The sequence below is a fragment of the Homo sapiens genome, chromosome 15, assembly GCF_000001405.40.
Source record: "Homo sapiens chromosome 15, GRCh38.p14 Primary Assembly".
Lineage (NCBI taxonomy): Eukaryota > Metazoa > Chordata > Mammalia > Primates > Hominidae > Homo > Homo sapiens.
Window position 1 is genome coordinate 25,681,601 of NC_000015.10, and position 24,917 is coordinate 25,706,517.

At 47.8% G+C, this 24,917-nt stretch overlaps 1 protein-coding gene across 9 annotated transcripts in view, besides 2 other annotated features; it reads right to left on the reverse strand.

Annotated features, from left to right (window-relative positions):
* Positions 1 to 24,917, reverse strand: part of ATP10A (ATPase phospholipid transporting 10A (putative)) — a 192,852-nt gene that overhangs the window by 9,364 nt on the left and 158,571 nt on the right. For all 9 annotated transcript variants that reach the window (XM_011521828.3, XM_005268261.5, XM_011521826.3 and 6 more), the window contains 5 exons: positions 20,316 to 20,500; positions 13,219 to 13,546; positions 10,115 to 10,191; positions 6,103 to 6,228; positions 1,686 to 1,886 (listed from right to left, as the gene is read on the reverse strand). In XM_011521828.3, coding sequence (XP_011520130.1) covers positions 1,686 to 1,886; positions 6,103 to 6,228; positions 10,115 to 10,191; positions 13,219 to 13,546; positions 20,316 to 20,500 — 917 coding nt within the window. The remainder of the gene's footprint in view (positions 1 to 1,685; positions 1,887 to 6,102; positions 6,229 to 10,114; positions 10,192 to 13,218; positions 13,547 to 20,315; positions 20,501 to 24,917) is intronic.
* Positions 13,580 to 14,080: an enhancer, noted in NCBI's record as "H3K4me1 hESC enhancer chr15:25940327-25940827 (GRCh37/hg19 assembly coordinates)". NCBI's record gives its function as "activates a minimal SCP1, AML or CMV promoter by ChIP-STARR-seq in naive H9 embryonic stem cells {active_cell/tissue: H9 hESC(naive)}" and the evidence as "EXISTENCE:reporter gene assay evidence [ECO:0000049][PMID:30033119]".
* Positions 15,067 to 15,613: an enhancer, noted in NCBI's record as "H3K27ac-H3K4me1 hESC enhancer chr15:25941814-25942360 (GRCh37/hg19 assembly coordinates)". NCBI's record gives its function as "activates a minimal SCP1, AML or CMV promoter by ChIP-STARR-seq in primed H9 embryonic stem cells {active_cell/tissue: H9 hESC(primed)}" and the evidence as "EXISTENCE:reporter gene assay evidence [ECO:0000049][PMID:30033119]".

Consider the following 24,917-nt stretch of genomic DNA (forward strand, 5'->3'; position numbering starts at 1 on the left):
CAAGGAAAACTCACTCTCTCAGGACTTTTGGAGACGCGAGGCCCCAGAGGCCCGATGAAAAGCACTACCAAACACCTACAAAACTATCTGCAGCTGCGTCACTCACTGGGAACACCTGCACCAAAAAGACGAGCTTCAGTAGCTCCAGGTTCACAGTAAAAAGATGAAACTGGCTGGGTGCGGTGGCTCACGCCTGTAATCCCAGCACTTTGGGATGCCCAGGTGGGCGGATCATGAGGTCAGGAGATCGAGACCATCCTGGTTAACATGGTGAAACCCCGTCTCTACTAAACATATAGAAAAATTAGCCAGGCATGGTGGTGGGCGCCTGTAGTCCCAGCTACTCAGGAGGCTGAGGCAGGAGAATGGCGTGAACCCGGGAGGCGGAGCTTGCAGTGAGCCGAGATCACACCACTGCCCTCCAGCCTGGGTGACAGAGCGAGACCTTGTCTTAAAAAAAAAAAAAAAAAAAAAAAGATGAAACTGCTTTCTGCATCTTCCCAGGGAACATGTCTCTCAAGTAGGAAGTAGGAATAGCACCTGAAATTCCGGGCATTCTCCCCCAGTTTGAGCCCTTCTATTCCTTCCACTTTGACCAGTTTTTGCCTCTCTTGGTGGTGGGTCCCTTAGAATGTTTCTTAAGAGCGAGTCTTCACTTTTAAAATTACACGATGGATGTGTCCCAATGTTAAAAGCAAACAGCTATATACCCATGGGCAGAAATGAAAATAACCTTGATATAGATGAATAGAGTCTCTATTACCCGGGTGACCAAATGTGTATTTGACCCTGCCAAGTACCAGAGCAGCTGGCACGGGACCTGCAGGAAACACACACTGGGGAAGGAGCTCTGGCTGAGCACTTAGGGAAAGTGCTGGCTAGGCTCTTCCTGTGGGCCACTTAATTCCACAGGACAGGACACACTCCCAGCGTCTTTGTCCCACAGGTGGCCGAGGAGGCTGAGGCCTGGCCAAGGATGGGAACTCCCCTGAAGCAACAGATAACAAGCAGAGGCCCTGCTCCCCTCCCTGGCCCTTCGCCTCCTGGCACCCCGTGCATGCGGCCTGCTTCTGTGGGAACTGAACATTCTCAGAGGTGGCCAGGGGAAGTTAACTCATCAGTGAATGAATCTGGAATTAGGGATTATTGCAGGAGAAATGAGACTCCATGTTCTTTTTGCCCACATGGAATAATTCAAGGCAAAGAAAAGCACTTGCTGTCTATTTTAATGGCTGGCTAGAAACAGCTGGTCATCAGTGTGTGAATCTATGTGGTATATTAATGCCAGTATGTATTTAAATCTATTTGCTCTTTCAGTGGCTCAGTGGCTTCCTTGTGGGTTTGTCTTCTTGTTAATTCCCGTTCAAAATAAGTCACATTTTCTTCCTTGCTTTAGAAAAATCCCCCCTCTAGCTTCAGTGATCCCCTGTGACTGACTGGACTCTGGGCTTTTCTTGGGCTCCTGGAGACTCTTGGAGGGGGGACAGTTTCGCTTACAACACTTGATGCACTGCAGCCAAGCAGAGGGCAGCCCTTTTTCTCCATCCTCTAGAATGGTGAATTCTAGAATTTCAGTTTGTCCAGGGTGTCCATCTGAAGGGAGGCTGGGGGACTGGCACTTTGGAAGAGTGAACGTGGAGGGCAGAGCTCAGGAGGTGGAAGGCGGAGACTCGGGGGAGCTTTACCTCCATGTTCTGGCCACTCTTGTAGAGCTGCGGGTTGGTCAGCAGCACATTGGCTGGCACATCCCTGTCCAGCACCCCAGTCACGAGCGGGGGAAGTGACGAGAAGAGCAGATTAAAGAAGATTAGATACCACTGGTCAATCATGGTAGATGCAGAGAAGCCACAGAAAAACTGGAACCAAAACAGGAGGCCCACGAACATCTGAAATCAAGAAAGGAAGAACAGGAACAGGCGAGTCTTCAGCCATTGCTGAGGATTCTCATCCGAGGGAGCTGACAGGCCTGCAGAGTTTCACAGTCAAGATTAAATGTATTGGCAGCGATTTCTGCCAAAGACAGCCATGACCTTGAGCCCTGCTGCTGGCCTCTGCCTCTCCCTCTTCCTCTTTCCCTTCGCCCTCCTCACTCCCTTAAGAAAGAAGAACTGGCAGTGGGAATTGGGAATTCCCAGGAGCAGCACTTGCGGGGATGAGATTTTTGTGCTTGACAAGCTCTGGATCATTAACATAAAACAAAATCAAGGTTTCACAGGGGTGTAGGGCTGCTCACATTTCAAGAGGGCCAGTTGAGTATGAGCTGTGGCATCTTCCCTAGTGGCCCTCCTCTGTCTGTGACCCCAGACAAAGCCTACCTGTGGCTATATCTCTGCTCCTGTCTCTTCTTTAGTGACCTGCATACTCTCTGAGGAGGTGCAGTGGACAGTGACTGACTCCCACTGAGGGGAGGACACACAAAAGCACAATAGCAAAGCCAATGACCTCATCAACATCGCTGCAGTGACCTGATTGTCCACGGGGACCTCTGCTGGGGGGAGAGGGAGAGGCATCATCTCTGATCCTCATAGCTACAGCTACCCAGCTCAGCAGAACAGGAAAGTGAGATTCAGGGAGGTGGAACAGCCACCTCTGGCCCCTGCTCACTGGGGTGGGAGCAAGGTCAGATCTCTTCTCACTATTGCTAGATTCCTGAATATCAGCAGCCTGAGTGCATTTATACGGTGGACATGACAGTTTAGTGATTGCAAAGCATTCTAACACTCATGAGCTATGTAGCTGGGCACAGAGCATGAACTCCTCAGTCTCGCTTTCCTTGCTCATGACATGGGCATACCAATGATACTCAGCCAATGCAGCTGCTGTGAGCGTGAAGCGACCCAGTACATTTAGAGGACTCACCAGAGTCCCTGGAGAGCTATAGGTGATCGCCTACGGTGTATGGTGGTGAGTGGTATCGTTAGTTCCCTTGTTTGGGACTCAGGCAGGGCGAGTGCTCTTATCCCACATACAGAGAGGGAACTTGAAGTTCCAAGACATCAAATGACTTGGCTGAGGTCACGGTGTGAGTAAGGAACCCAACTTGTTCAACTGCGATGGGTCTTGGCTTGGAGGGCAGGCACAGTCCCAGCAGGGAACTCTGACGCTAGACAGACATTTTCTGCTGGGCACCGCAAGGCCTGGGCTTGGTTCTGGAGCTGCAACTATCTACCCTTTTGACCCTGACTCAGTCACTTCACCTCCCTGAGCTTTTGGCTTCTTGACCTGAAAGTGACTTGTGAAGATCATAAGAAATAATAGCTTATGTTGAAATAACCCACCATGCCACACAGCCTCCAAGTCCTGTGTCAGACTATGATTTAAATGTCTTAATATGCAGCCTTTCCCTACATGCTGAAAACGAACATTTGGTTTTTATTCATTGACTTTCTTCCCTTCCTCACTCCTACGGCTGGCTCTCGCTCACTCACCCCCGCAGGCTTGGCCTAGTGAGTCATCGGTAGCAAATACAGTCAAGAGAAAGAGAAGATAAGTACTCAGATAATTGAGATTTTTTTTCCTATAGTACCAAAAAGCTTTCTTCCCAAACCACTGTTGTTATGGAAACCTTTCTTCTCTGCTTTTTATTGGAAAGAAAGGCCACCTTATTCCTAAAACTAATGAATTTCTCATTTCAGGAGGCAGAGTGATTATCCTTGAACTCCTCATGTAGATTAATGCTTGTTAACAAAGGCCTGGCATTTTTATGGAATAAAAACAGGCGTCCTCTTCTCCTTTCTGCACCCTTCAATGGGGAGGGACTCATCGCAGCAGGCAGGAGGCTGTGCCCGTTCCAGGTGACCACTAGGGCCTTTGTTTGCATCTGAAGTGTTTAATGATTTGGCCTACATCATTCTTGCCCTCCCTTCGATCTGAGACATTTTAACTGGGAATTAGGGATCAGCTGGCTCAACTCACAGGCTTTGCTTTGTTTTTTTAAGATTTAAAAGAAGACTGGACATGGTGGTTCATGCCTATAATACCACACTTTGGGAGGCAGAGATGGGACGATAGCTTGAGGCCAGGAGTTTGACACCAGCCTGGGCAACATAGCGACACCCTGTCTCTACAAAATAGAAAAAATTAGCTGGGCATGGTGGCCTGTAGTCCCAGCTACTCAGGAGGCTGAGGTAGGGGGATTGCTTGAGCCTAGGAGTTTGAGGATACAGTAAGCTAGAGTGGCGCCACTGCACTCCAACCTGGGCAACAGAATCAGACCCTGTCTTTAAAAAAAAAAAAAAAAAAATCCAAAGCAGGAATTAACTTGCTCAAGAACCCACAGCTAACAAGTGATAGAAAGGGGGCTTGGATTCTTCCCTGCCCACCCCCATTCATCCCTCCACTCCTTCGGGAGCTGAGAACCTTTAGGCTTACAACTGTGCACTTGAGGCCTCAAAGTTCTGGGGATTTAATGCCAGGGCTGGGAGAAAGGAGGTATGAGCCGGCAAGCCCAGGAGTGGTGTGACACAGCCTTCCTCAGATAGTCCCAGGCACAGCCTAATCTGAATTAATGTCTGGGACCAAACCTATCAAGTTAAACATGCCCTGACTGGATCTGAGCAGCTGTATGCATTTGCTAGAAGACGCTCCGAAAAATGAAGGGGGTGAGTGTGAAGGGGAAAGAGAGGTTGGGAAAAGAAAGGCAGGTGTAGCCTCCAGAAAAACAATTAAGAACATGGAGAACCAGCCTGAGCAACAAAGTGAGACCCTGCCTCTACAAAATTAAAAAAAAAAAAAAATTAGATGTGCGTGGTGACACGCACCTGTAGTCCCAGCTGCTTGGGAGGCTGAGGCTGGAAGATCACTTGAGCCCAGGAAGTTGAGGCTGCAGTAAGCTATGATGGTGCCACTGCACTCCAGCCTGGGAGACAATAGTGACACCCTGTCTCAAAAAATAAAAATAAAATGAACATGAACAACCACTGACAGTTTAGAGCTAGCTAACTGGAGAGTTTTTATACAGAACTGGAAAAAGAATACACCTTTTATTTTATTTTATTTTCAGAAGAGTATAGGATAATCTTGACACTGGAGTTCTGGTGTTTAGCCAGGTAGATTTATGGGACTACCTTGGAAGATCACTTACCCTAAGAGTTTATTTTGTCTCTTTGTTTGTACATTCAGCCAAAAGCAGCAGCAGCCTAGCAACTCCTCAGTAAAATATCTAGAAATCTCTTACAAATGGGGCAGAACTCTGAGACGGCCATGTGGTCCATCCTGCAGGGCTATGGAGGAGCCCATCTGCCAAAGAAGCAGTGAAGAAGGAACGAAGAGTCCAACGTGAAGATCCACATGAAATGACCATGCAGAACCCTCAGAGAGACAGAAATGTCTGCAGCCAATCTGCCCTGGGTGTGGCTTTACAGCAGGGTCACTTTAGCTACAGAATGAGCTCATCCGAGAGGGGTGTGTCTGCTCTGCAAGCCTGGGAGGTGGGAGAGGGTGGGAAGGCCCGAAGGGCACCCCCTTCCTGCTGGGTCTGAGCCTCCCTGACCTAGGGGCTTGCCGCCTGTCACCTGTCCTGGTGTGGGTGTGTCCCAACAGAGGCCATTCAGTATGGGAATCAGAGTGAGGCTAAGTTCCCTTATTCTGATCCCAGACCACAAAGCACACTTGTGCTTATCATTGGATTTTCCGTCTACTCTAGAGAAAATGCTGATTAGAGGACTCCTGTTTGGGGATATTTCAGCAGCATGCTCCTGAGAAACCTATGGACAGAGTGGTTAGGAGCCTGGGAGCAGGACTGGGTGGCCTGGGGTGAACGCAGCCTTGAAGGTTTACCAGCTGTGTGCCCCTGTGCAAACTGCTAGCCTCATAATTATGCCCCTTCTCACTCTGCAGCCATCAGTGGACTTGCTAGTGTTATCCACCTGTTTCCACCACCTCTCCCTAGAGATGCAGCTGCTCTCATGCCCCTGAATTAGACTCTGAGCCTACAGAGTGCAGAGCCAGCCCAGGACAGGGGACAATTACACAGGCGAAGGAGGATGGAGCAGGTTGTCCATGGCCTCCCATCTGCTCCATCCTCCTTCGCCTCATTCAGGCGATGGTCCTAAGAACCGAACCTTCCAATCCCAAAACTCTAGACAGGTATCCAATACCTACTGTGTTTTTGTAGAAGAAGTACAGCACCATGTTGGCAAGTCGGGAGTAGCACCAATGCCCGTGAAGAATCAAGAGCCTCTCCAGGTATCGGAATTTCGGCACTGCAAAGTCGCTGGCCATCACTGCCTTCAAAGGGAGAGGGATTCCTGTTACTGGTGATGCCGACCTGGCGTCAGATTTGTCTTCTCTTCTCAAAATGCAAGGTACACAACAGGGAAGGAAAATCCCCATTCTGAACACAGTGCGAGCGTGGCCGGCCAGGGTCTCCATCGCTGTCGTCTCCCTCAGCATCTCCTTCCGTTACAAAAGAGGCAATCTCACCCAACACGCTAGTTCAGGGATGTCACCTTATAAGATTCATTTACGCTTTCAAATATGTGTCACTAATGGGGTTTAAAAGGTTTTCTTTTTTCCTGCTGTTTTCTCAACAAATGAAAACACACAGAGATACATGGTGTTTATCTGCCTTTCTTTGCCCCGGATGTCATTTTCCTCTAAATCGGTCCATGGTCACAACCCAAGGATGACCCAAAGCTGCTCCTGCCGTATGTATCAGAGACAGACATTCCCCTGTCCTGGGAGGTGCATTTTGGGCTGTTCCCCCCAGAAGCCTTGGTGATGGGCAAAGCCAGGCCCACAGCTCCACTGGCCTCCCACATACTCCCAACCCAGGACGCCGGGTGCGGGCAGTGGCCGTGTGCAGGAGGGAGTGGAGAAGACGTTTCCTCCATGGACAGGCAGGAGCCTGCCATGGAAGCTTCCCCTGCATATCATCAAGCAAGGTGCTTACGCAGTGAAGCCAACTAGGCTGGAAAACACCATCAAAATGATACCTTTTGTCCCCAGAATAATTTGAAACCCACTGTACAATAAATGTCTTTGGAAAAAAAAATCAAACAAAGTGGCAGGAAAAGCTAGATTTCTGCTTATCAACAGAAGGTTATTCTAAACAGAATGCCAACCTGCCTTTAACATCTAACTGGTTTCCCTATATTCAAATAATATGTAGAAAGCAGTAAGTTATGCCTCAAGTGGTACGCTTGAAATGGAATAGTGTCATGATACACAAAACCTTAGAACATCAATTTTCTGAACCAAAAGTTAAGGATTTCAAAGCAAATGTCCCTCTACCTCTTGCTGTCAACACATAGGGGCTTAAAAGGTTTTTCGTGTTCTGTAATGCTTTACCCATTAACCCCATGATTCATTCTCTCAAAAATCATTTATTAAGACTCCACTATTGCCAGCCACAGACTTGGAGAAACAGATACCATTAGACACAGTCCCCGTCCTCCACAGAATCAGTCTGAAAAGCTCAGTCAAAAGGGACCAGTGTTAAAAAGAGGCTGATGGCCTACAAGGCCAAACTCTAGGCTGCCTTTGAAGAAGAAACCCCCGCCCTTGAGAACCACAGTCAAACCCCTCTGAGGACGCCTGGCTTGCCAGCCTTCTGCAGCTCCTTCCTCCCCTAAATCCAGGCCTCAAATACAATGCTTGTCCTTCCGTCAAAGTGGCCTTTCCAAAGCCTCCCAGCTTTTCTGGGAATTCTAGGAGAGCAGGATCAGAGATGTTGGGGTCACCTTGTATCCCTGGCTCCCAGTCAGCCTTGGCTCTAGAGGGTGCAGGACAAATAGGGTGAACCAGATGAGCCAGAGCTCACGAAGACAGAACTTCCCAGGAGCTGTGGGATCTCCTTTGTTCCTCTTGCCCCCTGCCTGGGGCAGTCTCCCCACCTTGGCTGAGCTGGGGAGTGCCTGCTCCTCCTGCCTGATCCTCCACGGCTCAGCTCTGACATCTCTGGCATCCCTCTCCCTCAGCAACCCACAGCTCATCTCTCAAAGGGCTCAGCAGGGACTGACTAAAATGCAAGCAACAGGGTCCCAGTGCTGGAAAACCCAAGTGCATAGGATGGTAAGGAAAGGTATCAAGCCTCGTCCCCATCTCACCTAACACATCCCCAGGGAGGATGCACAGCTTTACATATGTGCAGAAGTGCCCAGCAACCTCCTCCCCAGCAGCTACGCCTGTTCAAAGCTGCATCTCTGGGCACCTGCCCTATGGCTCAGCTGTTCCCATCACCTTGCATGTAGAGCCCCAGGGCTTGGGCTGGTGCTCCCACCTTGAGGAGGAGAGCAGGCATGGCAGCTCCGGCCCCTCCCCAGCCACATGCTCAACATTCAAGTGTTTGATCCAAAAGATGTTTACTAGACGAGTTTCCAAGCATATGAGGTCAATAGGCACTGCCCCCATCAGATTTTCAGTAGAGGAAACAGTGAAAACAGAAGCAATGCCAACAAAGTCAGAATGAATGAACTATAGTTGACCCTTGAACAACACTGGAGTTAGGGGTTCCCCCGAACAGTCGAAAATCCACATACAATTTCTGACTCCCTCAAAACTTAACTACTAATAGCCTACGGTTGATGGGAAGCCTTACTGATCACACAAACAGTTGATAAACACGCACAATGGAATCTACATGTATTTCACATATTCATGACACACCTACGTTTTCCTTAATTTTTTTTCCTTTTTTTTAAAAAAAAAAAAAAAAAAAGAGAGACTGGGTCTCATTGTATTGCCCAAGCTTGAGTGCAGTGGTGCAATCATAGTTCACTTCAGGCTCAACCTCCCAGGCTCAAGTGATCTTCCTGCCTCAGCCCCCTAAGTAGCTGGGACTACAGGCATGGGCCACCACGCTGGGGTTTTTGCATTTTTAGTAGAGATGGGGTTTCACCACATTGCCCCGCTGGTCTCAAACTCCTGGCCTCTGGTGATCCTCCTGTCTTGTCCTTCCAAAGTACTGAAATTACAGGTGTGAACCACCATGCCTGGCCCGCTTTAATTTTTTCGATATTTCTAGGCTATGTGGTTCATCTGCAAGTTTTTTCAAATTGTCACAAATCTCCAAAAAATTTTCCAAATATTTATTGAAAAATGTCCCCATATAAGTGGACTCAAACAGTTCAGACCCGTGTTGTTCAAGGGTCCACTGTATTTTGTACATTTACTTAGCAAATGTTTCTTGAGCTTCCCCTTGTGCAAGGTGCCACACTGGGCACTGTGAAGACACAAAGGTGAGTCAAACATGAACACCATTTTCAATTTTCTGGAGGAAGAAAAAATGTGCGAGTAACGTAACACGGAGATTCCAGTCAGATGACGGCGGGGGGAGTAAGGCAAGTGTCAAGGACCAGCCGTGACGGAACTACTGTGCATCTAGCTTGGGACCCTCCATCTGAGGGTGGAACATCAGCTAAAACTATTAATGAGCTCTGCACAGGCCTGACATGTAGCACATGCCCAACAGATCATTACTGATCGAACCACTGAGTCAGCAAATGAATCAACCAGCGAGTAAGTGGTATCAACATCCTGGTTTTTAGAACTTCGGATAAATTGTTCCCTAAAATCTCCACCAACCCAAAAATGTTGTGATTCATACTTAATCAAATGTTGGAAACTGTTGTAATACTAAATCCAAAAGCAGCACATTTTTAGTTAAGTCATTTGTTCAATGTCTGACTCCCAGACCGAGAGTGAACACAGTGGCAGAGGAAAGATGCAGAGGTGAACTTCCATGTGAGTGAGGATGGCTACATTCCACCTGTACAGTGACGCCAGGCTCCACCTACATCAAAGGCATTTTTTCAAATGGTATTGCTCCGTGTTCACGGACAGTAAAAAGTGCCTGCTGGGACCGAGCCATCGAAAGCCAGACAGAAGGCGATGACTCACCTTGCCTCTCTCTGAACCACTTATTTCACAAAAATAGACTTGTGACATGGGAAGACATGCTTATTGCACACTGCTTCATAAACAGGAAGAATGGCATTCCTCCTTACCTTCCACTAGTGGCTTAGCAGCTGTATTGAGCATCAGCTATATTAAGGGCAAACCCTTTAGCCTCGTTCAGTAGAGCCCAGAGGAAGTCGGGGACAGCCCACAGGGTGACAGGACAAGAGGTCAGTAGGGCCAATTGGTCACACAGAATAGCCTGATTGGTCTTTACCTGCATACCCTCCTGGCCGGAGATTCCCACACCCACATCTGCCACCTGGATCATGCTGACATCATTGGCTCCATCACCTAGAAACAGCACAGGCAAGAAGAATTGTTTGATTCTAGAAACAGCACAGAATCAAATCAATGTGCTAGATTTTCTTGGGAGTCCCCGCTGAACTCAGTCCTGTGAAAGCGTCCTGGGGAAGATGGGGGAAAAAGGAGTAGAGCATCCACCCTGGGAGAATAGAGTTAAGCATTCAGAATAAGCTAGCGACACCAGGAGATGTTTCGGAAAGCGGGCTGGAGCTGAGCCACCTGGTACATGGCGCCTGCTCTGCAGTGCCGCTCTTACACCAGTAAAACCCTCATCCTGCTGTCTGGCACAAGGAAAGATGCTATCATCATCTTCATCATCATTAGTTACTGAGCCACTCCAGCCAAGCAGCCAAGGCTACTCCCAGCCACACTTCCCGGGCAGTTTCTAAACTAAGGGAAGGAGGTTAAATTCAGCCCAGCACGTTGTGGAGCTCTTTTTTTTGCATATGGATTGCCACAGTATTAGCCATTGTGCTCACTTTGGGGCCCTCTAGGGGTGCAATAAAGGAGAACTTCTCTTCATTCTGTCAATTTGTTGATAGAAAATGTTTAGGAACACAGAGCATGGTCAGATATCTGGACACCTTCGGGGAAAGGACAGCAGAGTCATAAAGTTGTTATCACTCCGTGACGGTCACCATTCTTGGAACTGGGCAGCAGAAGAGCCCAAATCAGGGCATACATCCCAAGTTGCACAAATGAGAAAAGGTGCAGATACACAAAGTTAGAATGACTTGTAGTGTGACTACAGGATGTCTCTTCCCTGTGATTTTCCTGTTCTTTATAATGTTGAGACCAATATTAACTGATCAGTTAATATATATCAAATTGGAATTCTCTGAAGCAATAAAAATCTGTACAGCTTTCCCCAGAATGTCCCATTTAAAATGAGATACGGTAAAACATGAGATATGGTATGCAACGATGCTCTCTACATTATAAACCACTGGGCACTAGGAGTAGGTCACATTGATGCTTTAACGCATTCTTTCTTTCTTTCTTTTTCTTTTGAGACAGGGTCTCACTCTGTCACCCAGGCTAGGTGGGAGTGCAGTGGCATGATCATGGCTCACTGCAGCCTCAACCTCCTGGGCTCAAGTGATCCTCCCACTTCAGCCTCCTGAGTAGGTAGGACTACAGGTACATGCCACCACACCCAGCCAGGTTTTGCATTTTTAGTACAGATGGGGTTTCGCCCACCATGTTGCCCCAGCAGTTTTTTTTTTCTTTTTTTGAGACAGGGTCTCTCACTCTATTGCCTAGGCTGGAGTGTAGTGGTGTGATCACGGTTCACTGCAGCCTTGACCTCCTGGGCTCAGGTGAGCCTCCCACCTCAGCCTCTCAAGTAGCTGAGACTGCAGGTGTGTGCCACCACACACAGCTAATTTTTTTTATTTTTTGTAGAGATGGGGACTCACTATGTTGCCCAGGCTGGTCTCAAACTCCCGGGCTCAAGTGATCTTCCTGCCTTGGCCTCCCAAACTGTTGAGATGACTGGTGTGAACCACGTGCCCAGCCATGTGCTGATGTTCTTATGGGTCATTACTTTCCCGTTTTCTTTTGAGATTCCATTCTGTGTTTCCTTTTCTTTTTAATCTGCCAAGGATTTCCTTCCACTTCTTCAGGAATACCAGACACCAGTGGCTACGCGGCTGAGGCAGGCACTGGCCAGGCCAGGGAAACATCATTCACGTCTTACTGTGTACTGTGGCCTTTCAGGGCTGACGTTGTCCTCGTGCTCCCAGGGAAGGACGCTGACGCTCAGAGGAGGAGGCTGGGACAGGGGTGGTGCAGGTCAGCCTGAAGACCGTTTCCAGCTCCTCAGGGAAACCTGAGGGCCACCCCAGGCACATGAAGGCAAAGATGGCCTCAGGACAGGCCATGGCTGTTAGGTTCCCCGGGCCTCCTGAACACGTGCCCTGTGCCCACTCTCCTTAGCGGTTACTGGCCTCAGGGTGTGTAGGGCAGGGTCCCCATGACGACCGTGTTCAGGCCAGTGCTCGCTCTCCTCACTGCCACTGTAACCCAGGCTCAACAGCGGTCTCCTCTGGCCAGGTGAGGTGCCCACTGTGAACAGGCAGCAATCTCCATGTCAACAAGCAGGGGCTGTCACAGACCTTTTGCAGAAAATACTGCCAACACTGGCTGATTGATTGGCGAGGGTACTTGATTTCTGATCCAGTTCTCACCTAGGAGTAGATTCTATTTACAGGGAGGCCCAATTGTTGGCATGTGGGGGTCACGGCCACTGCTTCCTTCCTGGCCCTCACCAGGAGGTGGTGCTGCTGAGCCCCTGAACCTGTGCTAGAGACTCTGCCTGCACTAGAAGTGGGCAGAGAGGATGTCCTGGAAGGAGGCGAGTGGCCACCATCCCCTCCCTGGAGAGGAGCAGACAGGGCTCTCCAGGCCAACAGTGTCTGCCAGGAAAAACCACCATGAGAAACACAGTCCTTAAATAACTGGTGTAAAACTGAGCAGTGATGCGTATCTGATGATGGACTTATTTACTCAGAAGCCTGTCCCAGAACCATCAGCACAGCTGACAGGAGGCAGTGGGAATTCTGGTCACCAAGCCTCTGGGCCCTTAGGGCGTTACAAAGCCTTGGACACCCGGAGGCTCATGGTGACCAGAAGCAGCTGCAAAGGACCTTCTAAGTTGGCCTGGGCTAAGGCTGAGTGTGTAGTGCCCTCTGCTGTGGCCAGGACAGACTGGGACAGGCAGGTCTCTTGTGTGCTGTCTCCTGAGAAACAGGGTAAGCTCCATCTTGTTGCCGTAAAGCAGCACCGGATTACTGACCTTGCAGCATGAACCTGTAACTCTGCTACTCTCTTTTGTGGCTTTCCAATGTAAACTTTACCTTCGGAACATGTTGCCTGCTCTATCACACTGGGTGTGATTTTACACACAGAAAGAAAGGTGAGGAAGTGTTTTCCCATCTCGTGGTGTAGCATGGAAGGGTAGAGGAAGTTTGGGTCCAGCTGGGAGGAGGCCGTCTGGCCAGCTGGGATACTTGCCTATGGCCAGGGTCATGGCCTTGAGCTTGCTCCGCACCAGCTTCACCACCATGCTCTTCTGCAGAGGCGTCGACCGACAGCAGAGGACGGAGCGGCACTGCTTGGCAAGGAAGAGGAATTTGTCCTCCAGGTTTTTCTCGAGAGCGTAGGCCAGGCTTCTCCCATCGATCACGAGGCTGGGTCTGCGGCCAGAGGCAGTGGACGTGGAGGGTGGGCAGAGAGAGGAGAACCTCATGCTCACTTTGCCCTTGGTCTTCTCAGGGGCTCTCTGGAGGCCTCTGGACTGCACGTAGCATAGGCACTGGTCTAGCAGGGCTGCACACGCCTCCTGAAAGGGACATGAGAGGACAGCGCAGTTCCCTCAGAGTCATGCCACAAACATCCCCGCCCTGGCTCAACACCTCTGGAGCTGACATCCTTCCGGGCTCCAGGCTGCAGTACCCGCCTGCCCAGAGGCCACCCTCCAGAAACTGTGAAGTTCAGCCGGAGAGGATGACTTTCCCCAGAGAAGAGACTGAATTGGTGGCCAGGCACCGTGGGTGGCTCACTCCTGTAATCCCAGCACTTTGGGAGGCCGAGGCGGGTGGATCACGAGGTCAGGAGATCAAGACCATCCTGGCTAACACGGTGAAACCCCGTCTCTACTAAAAATACAAAAAAATTAGCCAGGCGTGGTGGTGGGTGCCTGTAGTCCCAGCTACTCGGGAGGCTGAGGCAGGAGAATGGCATGAACCTGGGAGGCGGAGCTTGCAGTGAGCCAAGATCATGCCACTGCACTCCAGCCTAGGCGACAGAGCGAGACTCTGTCTCAAAAAAAAGAGACTGAACTGGTCTAGGTTTCTCTAAGATCTTACTTGATCACCCATGATACAGTGCAGAGGTTGGAATGGACCATCTTCACTTTGGGAGGCCATACTGTATTATTGTGAAATTGCTGGATAGTTAGACTGAAGGCCCTCCATGTACTTCTTGATAGTTCTCAGAGGCCCTTACCTAACCCCCCAAGGACTAACTGCAGGACACAAAGCTCTGCAAAAGGCTTTGTTATGATTAGCCCCTAAAGAAATGCAATTTTCAGTATCCTCCCTAAGTTCTCCAATTCTGCCAGGAAAAGAAAAAAAAAAAAGCACAATTACGGAGGCTTTTAATAGGCAAAACTTGATCTGGATTCCAGAGAAAGGAGGAAAACCTACGGTGGTAGCAGCACTAGGGATCAGGGGCAGGAGCTGGAGGCACAGGAGGGACCACCGTCTCCAGGAACAAACACGCTCCGGGGAGCCTGGGCAGCTCCTGATCCTCCGCAGACCGTGAGTCTGCTGGGTCAGTGACCAGTGCCCTGCAACACACCACGGAAATCCAGCTGTGTTCAACACACGCTTACTGAGGATCCTTTGTATTCAGAAAATGAAGCCAGACTAGAGAAAAGAAGACTGAAAAGACACAGTTACTGCCGTAGGGGGAACAGACAGCTGATGCACACACACTCATGGCTGCAGCAAATCACCAACCAGGATGTGCGAAAGTGTGGAGATGGATAGGAGAGGGAGAGCTTTGCTTCCAGGGCATGGGGTGGGATATGGCAGTAACTGGGGAAGGCCTTGAGGAGAATGCAGGATGCCATCACAGGAACTCCATGAGCTCCCTGGACTCCCACAGCAGTGGAGACTCCTCCTTCATCCCGTTGCTCCCACTGACTTCAGGCGGCACTTGGGCAGGACGCATAGGCTCATTACTGCAGAGCTCTGAGAGGGAGTAGCAGCCGATGGACCGGGAGAGGAGACAAGTGTGCTAAGGACACTGAATGGGTGGTGGGTATGTCACTGTCACTCTGGTAGCCCCTGGCTTAGCCCAAGGCACCAGGGAACCTGGACGTGGGCTCCAAGGCAATGACAGAGAGAGCTCCAGGAGATACCTTCTAGCTCTGGCTTGAGGAGTGAAAAGGGGGTTCCCAGTGCTCTGAGAAGATGAGGAAGTCTCCAATTTTATTTATTCTTTTTCGTCTATTATTTTGAACTCAGTCCCAGGCAATTCTGCTACCGTGGCTATGCAGGAATGGCAGTGGCAGAAATGTCTGCTGCCGCAGACTCCAAGGGAGCTAGACCCTCCTTTCCAACAGAGCCTGTGGTGCTCTGTCTTCTATTCTGCCCCCACTTGGCGCTGGATGCAGGAGAAGGGCAGGAAATATGGGAAGAAGAAGGTGACACACTCCAGCTTTCCTGCCAGAAGACTGAAAAGGGGATTCTTGGGGAACCAGAGGCGCTGGAAAAATTGTAAAGAGAAGCTTGGCTAACTGACCCCATAATGTTGTTAATGAATTCCTGGGCTCACCCATAACAAAGCCTTTGAGAGGCAAACTCTGCAACAGACTGCCACCCAAGTTCCAAGGTGACCTCTGGAGGGCAAAAATGCAAGACTAGGTCTTATAAACACATCTGCCTTTGAAACCAACACCCAGAGCTCACAGCCCAAACCCCACAGGGTTGATCACCTGCTTAAAAAAAATCCACATTCTCCATAGAAATTAAAAATGGCCAGTGTCATAACATAATATTCGAAATGCCCATGATACAATCCAAAACTTCTTAGCATACAAAGAACCAGGAAAATCTTAACTCTGTGGAAAAAGACAATCCACAGAAGCCAATGTCAAGATGACACAGATACTGACATTATCGACAAAGAAAGACGAAAACAGCCATTATCCAAAAGTTCCAAGAAGTAAGATTGAACATGCTGGAAATGAACAGAGAGACAGACAGTCTTGGCCAAAAAGAAGGAAGATATTTCAGAGAACCAAATAGAAATTTGTGACAGAAATACATTAACTGAAATAAAAAGCTCACTGGATTCTAAATCATCTATGTAGATACTCTGCCCTCAAGGAGAAAACTATAACTCCACACTCCTTAACTGTGAGCTGTGCACAGTGACTTCCTTCGGAAGAATTCAGTATGGGAAGAGGCAAAGAGTACAGTGACTGAAAGGTCAACCCCAACAGTGACATGGTGTTGACAGCATGTACCCTTGATAGGATATGATGAAAATGGCACTTGACCTCTGTGGCTGTCCTCCCTAAAACCCTTAGCTCCACTTTAGTGATAAGAAAAACATCAGACAAATCCCAATATAAGGGCATTCTACAAAATACCTGGCCAGCACTCTTCAAAATGGTCAAAATGATTAAAAATAAAGAAAGTTTACCGAAGTGTCACAGCCAAGAAGAGTGTAAGGAGGCATGATGACAAAATGTAATGTAGTGTTCTGGATGGGATCCCAGAACAAAAAAAGGACACTAGGTAAAAACTAAGGCAATGTATGAACTTCAGAAAGTAATGATGTATCAACATTGGCTCCTTAATGTGATAAATGTACTAGGCTAATGTAAGATCAGTAACAATAAATTATGTATGGCATACATGAGAAATAAGTCTGTACTATCCTCACAGTTTTTCTCTAAATTTGAAACAATTCTATATATAAAGTTTATTTTTGAAAACTCTCTGGATGGGCCCAATGGGAGAATAGACACGACCAAGGAAAGAGTCAGTGAAGATCCGCTTTCACTTAATGAATAGTAAATATATTTTCTCTTCCTTAAGATTTTCTTGATAACATTTTCTTTTCTCTAGCTTACTTTATTGTAAGAATACAGCATATAATACATACAATATACAGAATAGGTGGTAATTGACTATTTGTTATCAGTAAGGCTTCTGGTCAACAGTAGGCTATGAATAGTCAAGTTTTTGGAGAGTCAAAAGTTATATGTGGATTTTTGACTACATGGAGGGATTGGTATCCCTAACCCCTACGTGTTCAAGGGTCAACTGTACTATAAACTGATGGAAAATAAAAATTTAAAAATACTACTTACAAAACCTACAAAAAATGTTGTACAGATGGTCCCTGACTTACAATGGTTCAATTTACAAATTTTCAACTTTTGGATGGGTCTTTTGGGGTATTAAATACATTTTCAACTTATGATTTTTTTGACCTATGATAGGTTTATTGGGACATAACCCCATCATAAGTTGAGGAGCATCAGTGCTTGGGTATGTATCTAACAAAACATGTATATGATGTGTATGCTGAAAACTATAAAATGCTGATAAAAGAAATAAAAGAAGACCTAAAAAATGTAGAGATATACCATGTTTACAGAGTGGAAGATCAACATAATAAAAATATCAATGCTTCCCAAATTGATTTATAAATTTAACAAAATTCAAATAAAAGCTCCAGCAGGAATTTCTGAACAGAAAAATTAATTTAAAATTCATATACGAAGGCAACAAATAAGAAGACTAGCCAAAACAATTTTGAAATAGAATAAAGTTGGAGGAATAACACTACCAATTTTTAAGACTTATAAAAAACTACAGTAATCAAACTACTACAATGAATCAATACACGTCGTATTGGTGAAGGGATAGACAAACAAATGAATGGAACAGAACAGAAAGTCTAGAAACAGACCCACACAAATGTAACTAACTGATTTTTGACAAAGACGCTTTCAACCAAAAGAAGACGCTTTCAACAAATGGCACTGGAGGAACTGGGCAGCCACATGTGGAAAGATGAAGTCTAACCTAACCCTCACACCTTTCATGAAATGTGACCCAAAATGGACTGTATCTATAGATAAGATGTTAACGTGTAATGCTTTTAGAATAAAACACAGGAGAAAATATTCATAATTAGGCACATCTTAGACATGACACCAAATGCATGATACATAAAATTTAAAAAAAATGACCAATCAGACCAGGCACAGTGGCTCAAGTCTATAATCTCAGCACTTTGAGAGGCCGAGGCAGGACAATCACTTGAGTTCAGGATTTTGACACCAGCCTGGGCAACGCTGGGGCATCCCATCTCTTAAAAAAATAAAAAATTAGCCAGGTATGCTTGTGCGCTCCTGTGGTCCCAGGTACTAGGGATGCTGAGGCAGGAGGATCCCTTGAGCCTGGGAGGTTGAGGCTGTAATGAGTTGCGATGGCACCACTGCACTCCAGCCTGGATAACAGAGTGAGACCTCATCTCCAAAAAGATAAAATAATAAAATAAAAATTTAACAAGAATAAAAATTTATCAAAACTAAAAGCTTTTGTGAAAGACAATATTAAAAAATAAAGAAGATAGGGATGAAATATATGCAAATCACATAGCCCACAAAGGACTTACATACAGAAAACATAAAGAATTCTCAAAACTGAACATTAAGAAAACAACTCAATTAGAAAATGGAAAAATACTTGACAATTCATCCAAGAGGATATTTGAATGGAAAATAAGCACATGGAAAGATGTTCAACTTCATTAGACACTAGTGAAATGCAAATTAAAACCATAACAAGATACCACTACACACCCATTAGAGGGGCTAGCAGAAAAAAAATCAATGACAATGCGAAGTGCTGGAAAAGACACTGAGCAAAGTAATACAGCACTTTGAAAAGCAGGCTGGTGTCTGGCAGCTTCTTATAAACTTAGACACATTCACATCTAACCTAGGTATTTAAAGAAATGAAAACATGTTCACACAAAAACCTGTATACACACATTTATAGAAGTGCTGTTTATGATTGTCAACAACCAGAAACAACTAAAATGTTCTTCACTGATTGAATGGATATGCAAAATCTGGTGTTAGTGGATATTACTCAGCATCAAGGAGAAATATACTACTGGTTCATGCAACAGCTCAGGTGAATCTCAAAAGTGTTATGCTGAGTGACAGAAGCCAGGCTCTGAAAGTTACACACTGGAGTATTCTGTTTACTTGACATCTGGAAAAGACAAAACTGTAGTTCTGGAGAACAGATTGGTGGCTTCCAGAGGTTAGAAAAGGAGGGAAGTTACAATTGCACGGGGGTAGCATGGCAGACTTTCTGGGGATGATGGAACTCTCCTGGACCGTGGATAGGGTGGTGTATATACATATACAGATCTATGCACGTGTTAAAATTCATGTAAGTGTATAACCAAAAAAAGAGCCAATTTTACTATATGCTAATTATAGATAAATAAATAAAAGCAATGACCAGGTCATCAGGTCAACCTTTAGTATAAATTCGCAAACTTTCTTGGAGAAAGAGGTCACTTAAAAAAAAAAAAGGCCCTGGTGAAGGCACAGGCTCTGAAGCAGGGTGACCTTGCATAGATGTGAGAGGAAGGGGGTGCCCCGGCCAGCGTGGCTGTGAAGAAAGGACTGGGAATGGTGGGAATCTGGATCATAGAATCCAATGGAACAAGGTGCGAGGGTCACAATGGCGTCTGTACAATGTGGACAACGGGGCTTGAAAGGCAGCCTTTCCTACGCTTACAGATGGAGTGAGAGGTCCTAGAGGCCAGGAGATGAGTGGGGGCTGCTGCAATAACTCACAGAGCAGGAATGCTCCCACCAAGGCCATCTCAGAAAGGGGGACTCCCAAGCGACAAAGTCCCAAGGTCCTGATAGCTGATGGTGCAGGTGTGGACCTAAGAGGGGCTGGGGTGGGGAGTCTGAGTGTGAGCCCCAGAGAGGCTGTGGTGGCTTTGGCCACACTGGGGAGGAGCAGATCAGCCACAGCAAGACAGTTCCCTGCTCCATTCAAGAAGCCTGAAAGCCGGCGCAAGAAGTTTTGAGTGGGAACTTCTGCGAGGACTCAGAGCCCAGACCAGGGCAGTATATGAAGTAGCTACTCGCCACAGACTTGGGGATTTAAACAGACAAATCCAACTGGATAAAGAAGTCCTCAGTGCCTGCAATGATCCTGAGGTGGTCAGTGCTAAATGGACCACTGCCCTGGCTCCACTGTGGAAGCACAGGGGACCTCACGAGAAAGTTCTTTGATGACTTGGACAGTATGTCAGGAGAAACCAGGCTGAACTTTGTATCAATAAAGCCCAGACATGCATTCCTTTGGTACTAAGAAATTCCAGCAAACTTTACCTCTTCCAAGGCAATAACATGCACATCCTAAACCCGAATGCGGAGGGTGAGGTCCTTCTAACAGCAGCTGCCAGGAATGTGAGTGTCTGCCAAGGGGGCCACGATAAACATGGACCACCCCAGGGGAAGGAAGCGGAGCCACTTGAAACCCACCTACCTGGGAGGTGGCATTCAGGGTGATGACCTCCTCGTCGTGGTCCAGCAGTTTGCAGGCATATGCAATGTTGACAGCTGTTTCTTGTTTGTCACCAGTGAGAACCCAAATCTGCAGGCCCGCTTGACGCAATTTAGAAATAGTTTCAGGGACTCCGTCCTGCAGGCGGTCTTCAATCCCAGTGGCACCTGGTCAAATGCACAGCAGTGTGAGCGAACCCGCTTCTCACGTGCCCCCCAATCCTTCTGGGGTGCAAATGTCATGCACCAGATACACCGAAGGCAGGCACTGGTACAGCCCCTGTTGCCTGGGCCTTGCCAGGGGCTGGGCTGCCAGTTGTCTGCCATGTAGTGACAGGAAGTCCCCTGTGGAACCATTTCAGGACAGTGGTGGACGCTTTTGACAGCTCTGTCGATGTGACTCAGTCGAGTGCGTAGGAATAACTGTGAGTCACTGAGCATAATTATGTGTACTTACACCAAAGTACCTCAACTTCTTTCTAACTTGTAACTTTACAGATAACCTGAAGGCAAAGCGTATGGGAAGGTGTTGGGAATGACGATATTCGGAGGGATAAAAATATAGTCTTAAAAATTGCCCATCCCATAGAAAGCTTCTGGTGAATGAAATTCAGAATGTCCAGTCTCAACAATGCTTATTACTAGTCACTATAGAAACAGACTTCACAGGTAAGGCCATTATTTCTTGAAACCAAGATTATCCTAAATATGCTTTTTCCACAAACATAAAGAAGTTGAGAGGCAGGTTTTGCCTTTTTGGTCTCAGTATGTTGGGAAAAATCTACTATTGACTGCGGAAATGTGCTTAGGCCTGCCTCAGATTTTTTTTTTTTTTTTTAAGATCTGTTTACATCTTGGTGAGATGGTTTCTGTCTTCCCCACTCTGGAAGTGAGCTGCAGCCCTGGTCCCTAGGTTCGAGCCCTGACTGAGGCTCCTTTACTGCGCTACACCATGCTGTGCCCTGTGCTGGGATGCTGCTATGGACTGAGCGTTTGTGTCCCCCAGATCCATAGGAGGGAGCACTAATCCCCAGTGTGGTAGTATTAGGATGTGGGGCCTGCAGGAGGTAATTAAGTTCAGATGAGGTCATGAGGATGGGGCTCCCTCGATGGGATCAGTGTCCTTATAAAAAGAGGCACTGGGGTCGGGCGCGGTGGCTCACGCCTGTAATCCCAGCACTTCGGGAGGCCGTGGCGGGCGGGTCACTTGAGGTCAGGAGTTCCAGACCAACCTGGTCAATGTGGTGAAACCCTGTTTCTACTAAAAATACAAAAATTACCTGGGCGTGGTAGTGGGTGCCTGTAATCCCAGCTGCTCGGGAGGTTGAGGCAGAATTGCTTGAACCCAGGAGGTGGAGGTTGCAGTGAGCTGAGATCATGCCACTGCACTCCAGCCTGGGTGACAGAGCGAGACTCTGTCTCAAGAAATAAATAAATAAATAGGCATTGGAAAGGTGATTTCTCAATCTCCCCATTGTGTGAGAACACTGCAAGGAGGCAGCCATCTGCAAACCAGGAGGAGATCCCACACCAGACATTGTGAGCTGTTAGAGCCTTGATCTTGGACTTTTAGCCTTCAAAACTCTAAGAAGTAAATGTCTGTGGCTTAAGTCCCCAGTCTGTGGTATTGTGTGACAGCAGAACAAACGAACTAAGCCACCCTTACCCCTTCTTCTAGAATGATGGGATGGCAGGCATGGGGAGGGGAAGGTAGAACTGAGGTACAGTAAACACACAAGTGTACATTTCTTAAATATTCCTTTGATACACTTTCACAAGTCACATACCAGTGTCACCAGCCCTGAACTTAGGGGGCAGAACATCACCAGCACCCCAGAAGACCCCCTCAGGGGCAAGTGGCTGATCTGCTGTCTTCCAGCTCAGGTAGCCTGGGCCTAGCTCCCATGTCGGGGATGTACTGGAAGGTGATGTGGGAACTTGGGGAGGGCCCAGAAAGGAGGAGGGAACATTGCACCCATGCTGCACACTGCTCTGAACCTTATAACCTGAGTACCCTGGGAAGACCACACAGCGTGTGGAGCTTAAGACCTGCTCAGGAAGAAAGCCAGGTCACGCTCTGTGCTCCCCGTGAGCACATCCCCAGCCACCCGGGCACCGGGAGGGCATCTGACCTTAGCTTTGCTCCTCTACCCTGGCCCTTGGGCTCTAGTAGGGGGGCAGACTGTGTGTGGCCCGTGTCCCTGGCTCATCCTGAGTGTCACTTGTACTATGACAGGTTCCTTGATGTCTGGGGAAGACAGGGATGGTCTTGCCTTCCTCTGTGTGTTCATAGTAATTCATTCATACTTAATGATAGTAATAATGATTATAGAGTAAGACTAATAATGGCTAACCTTGATGGATTACTGACAATTTGCCAGGATAACGCTTCCACTACAGTGCTTGAAACATAACCCAAGCAGTTGCCCACTCTTCTCTAAATGGCAACTTCCTGCCTCAAGGACCTTGTGCCTCCCACCTTTGTATCCGAGCTGCTGAGCTAAAGTCCCTCAGTCAAATGTCTGCCAAGAAAGAAAGCAGGGAAGGCCTTGCCGGAAACTCCAGTACGGAGGGTGTCTGCTGTTTCACAGGGAAAAGTTAACACCTTGAAAACAGAACCTCCTTAGTTCAGGAGCTATTTGGTCAAACTCATGGGCCTCCCACTGGGTCACCCCACCAACACTCACCTTTATAAGGTGTGAGCCTGAGTCAGGTGCAGAATAGCATTGAACTGAAAAAGGAGTTATGGGAGGGACCCCCACCTCGGCATGAAACATGGCAGAGGAAAGAGTACCTGCAGGCAGCAGCCTTTCAAGATGATTTGGGGCACAGCGGCTTTCTTCAGCTTTCCAAGGTACTTGTTTGTGATATAATTTATGTGACTCTGAGTAAATGCCACTGTCTTTACGACCTGACCCTCTGGAAGGCCTGGCATTTCTGAGTATCATAACTCAGGAGTTGGTGGTGTGCAGAGCCCAGCGTCACTGTGCTTGGTGCCACACAGCTTTGAATGGGAGGGGAAAGGATTTCACCAACGAGGAAGTTTTAGACATTTAGAGAAACTAGCAAGGACGCCGGGGAAAATGAGCAAGAGTATCCTTTGAATTTAGGTTCCTGCCCAGAGCATTAAGGAAAAGAAAATTTCAAGAGCATGGAGAGAACGGAGATCCTTTCTGCTGAAGATAGTTATGTATGGTTCTCTGATGCTATTTAAGATAAGCACCTGGGCCTGGTGCAGGGGCACACGCCTGTAATCCCAGCACTTAGACAGACTGAGGCAGGAGGATCACGTTAAACCAGGAGTTTGAGACAAGCCTGAGTGAGACCCTGTCTCTACCAAAAAAAAGTAAAAATTTATCTGGGCCTGGTGGCACACGCCTGTGGTCCCAGCTACTCAGGAGGCTGAGGCGGGAGGATCACTAGAGCCCAGAAATTTGAGCTCACAATGTGCTGTGATCGCACCATTGCACTCCAGCCCAGGTGACAGAGTGAGACTCTGTCTCAAAGCAAAAAAAAAAAAACAAAAAAAAAAAACAAAAAAAATCACCTTCATGAAAAGATTTGGCTTTGGAATAGTAAAAATATAAGTGGCTGGCTTCACTTTTCTTAATGAAGCTGAGGAGCTGGAACACAGTGCCCGCGTTTGAGCCATGTGAACGCTAAGGTGGTGGGTGGCTCCCATACTCTCCAGCTCAGGCCTCGTCATTTGAAACATAAACATATCAGGTAGCAGGAGATGGTAAGTGGTTAACAACCGGTCTGTGGGAGGAAGGTCGATTTACTGCATTTGCTCATTTCTGTGGTATAAATACTCCCACCTTGGCTGACTTCAATCTACTAACATAGCATCAAAAGGCGACGTGAGATTCCTGAACATTTATGTGGGCTACTGCAAAATTCTTCAAAATGTATCCATGAGCTCTGCCAGGAGGCGTGAGCAGGCTCCAGTGCACGGCTGGCACCCATGTGGGCAACCCAGGAGTTCCATCGCTGACACATCTCAGAGCCATCCTCACGTGCACCTGGAGGGAAGGAATCCACCTGAGGATGACAGCGGGATGTGGTGGAATCAGTTTGGAGAAACGCTGATGACCGGGATCCCGACTCCAATCAGAGGAAGTGGAACAGGGGATCGGTAGACAACTCTGATTTTAGATCTTCACACAGTTGCCCAAGTAAAAATTATAGAATCCAAGCAAGGAATCCCTGTGAAAAAGGCCTAAGAAGATGACTGGAACTCAAGTTAACCATGAGCCTCGGGTGCCGCAGGGGCCGTTAACAACTTAGGATATGTTAACAGAGCTGCAGCATCCGGGCCAAGAGAGGTGACCGATGCACGATCACCAGAGAAAGCCTGCAGAGGAGAGGCCAGCTGGGTGGAAACGGTGTGGAAGCACCAACCAGGAGACTCACCACACAACCGCTCAGTGCCAGGCCCTGTGCCTGCGCCACGCTCAGTGCCCCCCGTCATCCCTTCCTTTCACCCTCACAAGAGCCCAAAACACTGGGATTACCACAGAGCGGAACTTGGATGCAAAAAGGATTGAGCCACTTGCCCCAGGCTGTCCGATCAGCCTGCATGACC